The sequence below is a fragment of the Homo sapiens genome, chromosome 1, assembly GCF_000001405.40.
Source record: "Homo sapiens chromosome 1, GRCh38.p14 Primary Assembly".
In the NCBI taxonomy this organism is placed as follows: Eukaryota; Metazoa; Chordata; class Mammalia; order Primates; family Hominidae; genus Homo; species Homo sapiens.
The window spans coordinates 158900972-158906971 of NC_000001.11; positions in this window are offsets into that span (position 1 = coordinate 158900972).

Genomic DNA, 6000 nt, shown 5'->3' on the forward strand with positions numbered 1-6000 from the left:
CAGAGTATCAACAGAATATATCCTTCCTTACAAACTGATTACAGGAAAAAGAGGCAGGATAACTTCCTGAATCATGTTTATTGCTGCTGTGTATCCTCTACCTCCGATCTCTGGATTGTGGCCCTTTATGAACTTTTCTTATGTTACTCTCTACCCTTAACCTAAAGACCAGCTCCATGAGTCCACATAAGCAGCAACCTAAAGCCCATAAGCAATCCATGGACCCCCATATCATCCTTGCTTTTCCCCAACTTACTTCTGCTTTGGTGGAACCATTCAGAGAGCTTCCAAATCCAGACTTCAGCTATCTTCTCTACCGCACAAGTTTGAATTAAAACTATTAGCATTCTTTCCTTTAAACAGCCTTTGATCATGCAGCAAAATTGGCTGTTTTGAAGGACCCATTTTTCAGTCATAACCTCATCCTATTTGCAGATCATTTAGTTACCACAATAATGTTATCACAATATTGAGTTACCACAATACTGTTATCACAATATTGAGTTACCACAATAATGTTACCACAATATTGAGTTACCACAATAATATCTGCTGATTGGTTCAATTTATTTAAGACTGCAGGATTTACAATACTCTGAAGCATATCCACAATCCTTAACAAAAACAAACAAAAACAAAAACAAAAAACAAGAAAACAAAGAATTTTTCACATCTTCTTCCCTACCAGAAGTTCAGTGTTCTTCCAAATATTGCAAGCCTTCAACACTCTCATGATATGAAACTGAAGCCACTTACATTTAATCTATGAGCAATGCGAAAATACTTGAGCAATCATGAGTTCAATCATCGAGATAATACAGTTTAGTCATAGTTAAGAGGGCAGTTGGTGACAAATTCCTTTCTCTGTATTTGAGAAGGATCTCCATATTTGTAATGATGTTCTATCTCTGACAAGCTATGGGTTTATCAACTCTTAATAATTGGATGAATGATTCATATAGTATATAAACCAAAACTGATTTCATAGAAGACCCTCCCCCATCCAGGAGATGCAGTCAAATATACTGGCAGCGATAGACAATTCTGCCACTGCCACTCTGTGAATAGTAGAAGATGGAGAAATGGCTAGGCATGTCTCATCTTTCTCCTTTGATATTTTAGCTGTATTCAAGGGACATTTACATCTCCTGGATAATAAAGTTTTAATATCAAAATTTAAGTCCCCTGGAGAATAACCTTCCAATATCAGAATTTATTTCAGGCATGAATACATTACCAGAAAATAAAAAAAAATTCTGCTGTCATTTTTTATTTCATTTTGATAAATTATTTACAGGAAAGAAATAGTTTAGTTTCTCTTGCTAAGGGTATAAAAATCTAAGATCATGGATGGGAGGAGTTACACAATTGTTCCATAACTTTGCTGTCTTCCTGGGGCATAGAACAGTATGATGAAGCCAACACTAGTAAAGTTTTAAGTGACTCAAACCAATGCCATTTTTTATTGTTACCTTTCAAACTACTTCACTTTCTTAGCCTTTCACAAGATTATAACATCCTTCAGCTCAATTTTTTGGATAGTTTTAATGATTTATTATTCTGTTAGTACAAAACTGTTATTTCTACATTTTCTGGAGGAAAAAAAATCAAAGTCTAGAATACTGCAAAAGAAGTTCCAGAGAGGTGACACCTGTGGGGATTTGCATAAAAATTTGGGAACTCCTTTGTTAACCACAAGATTACAGAGGAATTTCTTTTTTTCTTTTTTTTTTTTTTTTCTTGAGACAGAGTCTTCACTCTGTGACCCAAGCTGGAGTGCAATGGCACTATCTCGGCTCACTGCAAGCTCCGCCTCCCGGGTTCATGCCATTCTCCTGCCTCAGCCTCCCGAGCAGCTGGGACTACTGGTGCCCGCCACCAAGCCGGCTAATTTTTTGTATTTTTAGTAGAGACGGGGTTTCACCATGTTAGCCAGGATGGTCTTGATCTCCTGACCTCATGATCCACCCACCTCTGCCTCCCAAAGTGCTGAGATTACAGGCATGAGCCACCAATCCGGGCCAGGTACTTTCTTTTTCTTCCTTTTTTCTTACATTTTTCTTTAGTATATCTTGTCATGCTTAAGCCTGAACAAAACACTTTATCTGTTCTACCTAAAAGTAACTCCACTAATTACTTACTCAAATGAATATATTGAGAATTCACAACAATTAAACTTTTGCTTCCACAAGGGATACTTTATCAATGTAACAGTGTCTCTGACCACTAAAAGTTTTCCTATTGTGTTGTTCTGTGGAAGAGAGAGAATGTATTGTACGTAACAGCAAGCGGTTGGGTTCATGGTTTGCTGATCAAGACTCCTTTATACTTCTTACCCTTGCTCACTAAACTATTAACGTTTCTTCCACATGTCATGCTCCTTTCTTAAAGATTTTTATCATGATTCTTTCACCTGCAAACTTCCTATTGGTTAAAACTATCCTTGAATACCAGTGTTAATGTCTCTTGTTCAGAAATACTTCCTTAGATCTCCTCCCAGGCTAGGAAAAAATATTACCTAGCGTTTACATATGTATGATCTTATATTTTCTTCTGCCACTTATCACTGTAGTTAAGGATATTTGTCTTTTCGAGACTACAAGTCTCAAGAGTAAGAGTTCCCTGAGTGCCTTTTAAACCACTTTATCACAGTGGCTATTTCAGTACTTGCTTCAGAGTAGGCTCTGAGTAAGTACAATTACCCCATAGCATAATGAATAGCAAGGAACAAAATCAAGTACCAGTAATTGTTTCTATGAAAAAGAGGCCAGGCACAGTGGATCACACCTGTAATCCCAGCACTTTGGAGGCCAAGGCAGGTGGATCACTTGAGGTCAGGAGTTCGAGACCAGCCTGACCAACATGGAGAAACCCTGTCTCTACTAAAAATACAAAATTAGCTGGCAGTGGTGGCATATGCCTGTAATCCCAGTGACTCAGGAGGCTGAATCAGGATAATTGCTTGAACCTGGGAGGCGGAGGTTGCAGTGAGCCGAGATCACACCATTACACTCCAGCCTAGGCAACAAGAGCAAAAACTCCATCAAAAAAAAAAAAAAAAAGAGAGAGAGAGAGAGATTCATAAGCTGCCTGACAAAAATTTCCAAATAATTGTTTAAAGACACACAGCATATTTCCAGGAATACAGAGAAACAATTCAATGAAATAAGAAAAACAGCAAATGACCAAGACCAAAATAAGTAATATAGCACAGAGATTAAAATTAAAATTAAACACAATCTCTGGAGCTGAGAAATATAATGAATGAATTGAAGAAAATGTAGTAGAGAACATCAACAGCAGTACTGACAAAGGAGGAGGAAGAAAGTGTAAAACTGAGCACCAGTTATTTGAAAATATATAAGAGAACTAAAAGAAAAAAGGAATTCAAAGGAATAAAGAATGCTTAAAGGATTCATGGAACAGCGTCAATAGAGCAAATATCTAAATATAATATAAGAAGAACAGTGAGAAAAAATGGAAAGGTTATTTTTTAAAATAATAGCAAAAAGCTTTTTAAATCTGGAGAAAGTTGTAAAAATCCAAGTAGAAGGTGAAAGACTCCAACTAAATTCATTTCAATCAAGACTACACCAAGATGCATTATAATCAAACTTATAGAAGTTTGATGTGCCCATGCGTTCTCATTTAGCTCCCACTTATAAGAGAACATGTGGTATTTGGTTCTCTGTTCCTGCATTAGTTTGCTAAGGATAATGGCCTCAAGCTCCATCCATGTCCCTGTAAAGAGCATGATCTCATTCATTTTTATGGCTGCATGGTATTTCAAAGTGTGTATATACCACATTTTCTTTATCCATTCTATCATTGATGGGCATTTAACATGATTCCATGTCTTTGGTATTGTAAATAGTGCTGCAATGAACATACACATTCATTCTTCTTTTTCAATAAGATATTTACACAAGGAAAACTGCAGTTTCCCTGACAAAGTAGAAAGCTATGAAAATTTATGGAAGGAGTCTCAAAATTGCTTCTCTTCTCTGGGAGGAGACAGTAAATGGGTTTGAGAGCTATTTCACAGCACAGCATGAAATAGTTGGCACTAACCAACGTAAGTGACCCAAACTAGTGAGGTTTTTTTTGTTATCTTTCAAAATATTTTATTTTTTTAGCCTTTCACAAGTTTATAACATCCTGCAGTTTAGTCTCTGGAGAGTTTTATCAATTTATTTATCTATTCTTACAAGGCAAATAGTGATTCCTGCACTTCTGAAGAAAATATCGAGATATAGACCACCATGGAAGAAGTTCGAATGAGCAAAAAGCTGTGGGGATTTCTGTAGAGAAAGATCTGGGTACCTACTTAGTAATCACAAAATCACAGAAGCATTTTGTCCTAATTAACACACTTTTCTCTTGTTCCTCTTTTGCTCTATTTTCTATAACTCATGATTTGAACTTCAAAATAGCATCTCATTTCATCTTCTACCAAAAATAATTCTGATTATTATTTACTCAGATGCATATATTGATAATTAACTATATTTTAATATTCTGCTTCTACATGGGATACATGGTGAATTGATATATTTTGGGCCTCAAGAAGTTCTCTTTCACTTTTCATGGGGAAAATCAAAGATGTGTAGCATCCCTAGCAATACATGTGAGCACAGCGGTGGGTTCGTTGTCTACTACTGGAGTTTCTTTCACACTTTTCCCTTCACTTTCTAATCCATTAAAGTTTCTTCAACATCCTTCTTCTACTTAGGAGTTTTATAAACCATGTTTCTCTACCTGGAAATCTCCTAAATTGGTCAGATCATTTCTTCCTCAGGCTAGAAGTCTTCCTGATGTTCATATGTGTAGGACCTTGGGATTTTTTCTACTATAATACTTATGACAATTGTAATTAGTGAATTAATGTCATTTCACTGGCACTATAAGTTTCAAGAGTAGGAGTACACTGTCAGCCTTTTAAAAACCCACTTCATCCAAGTGACTAGGACAATATCTGTCTCATATTACACTCTCAATAAACACAATGACCCATTAAAACAATGAGTACCAATTACCAAAATAAGAATCTTCCGGGTCCAATGAAGCATAAGTGAAGATCATCTAATTCAGGAAATGGAATAATGTATAAATTGAGGTGAAAAGAATGTCCAACCACAAACATAGAAGTAGAAGAAAAGGGAAGAGAGTTGAAGGATTCGGGAAAATCCCAGAAGAAGGAAAAGAACACATTAACATCTAGAGATAATATGTGTTGCATTTTATAATTGAATGATTTTTATTAGTTTTTATTGAATTTTTCTGCTCTGAAATATGAATTTTCTAGTCTCTTATTATGTCCCCCAGATATCAGAGATAGTCTAACAACTCAGTTAAATATCTCTCACCATCTGAAAAAGAAAATACTTTCTTTTTATTTACACTTAAGAAAGGATAAAAATTTTGATGGGCTGGAGTAACAAAAAGTGGGCACTGAGATCCTGCAGAACAATTGGCAGCTATTCCAGGAGAACACATAGGGTTCCATTCAGGGTGGCCACACTGGCCCTACCTATTTTGAGCCTGACTGAAATAGGGTTGCCACATACTCATCCCAACCAAGGCCACCAGCCCCAGCATCCCCTACAAATATTTGTTGGGAGCAATAAGCGGGTAGTGTGGGGCACAATGGTGGTATCCCTTGCCTTGGCCTTGCCTCTGCCCCCTGCCCCTTGCTGCTAGTTATTTCACCACCGCTGATGAAGGTTGGCCTGACTCTCCCAACCCTCTAAGCCATGGGAAATAAATTGGCATGTCTAGCCCTACCACTGTCTCACTTCCATCCCCCATTGGGTACTCTTCAGCCCCTCATAGTGAGCAGCCCACGACTACACTACCAGAGGTCCTACCAGGCTATTAAAGGAGAATGTTTCTGCAATAAAAGCAATAATAATAAAGAATTACAAAGAAAGATCAAGCAGGAAGAAGTGAGCCTTCCATACCAGACTACAGAGCAAGCAATTTTTCCTAAAGAAAATGAGG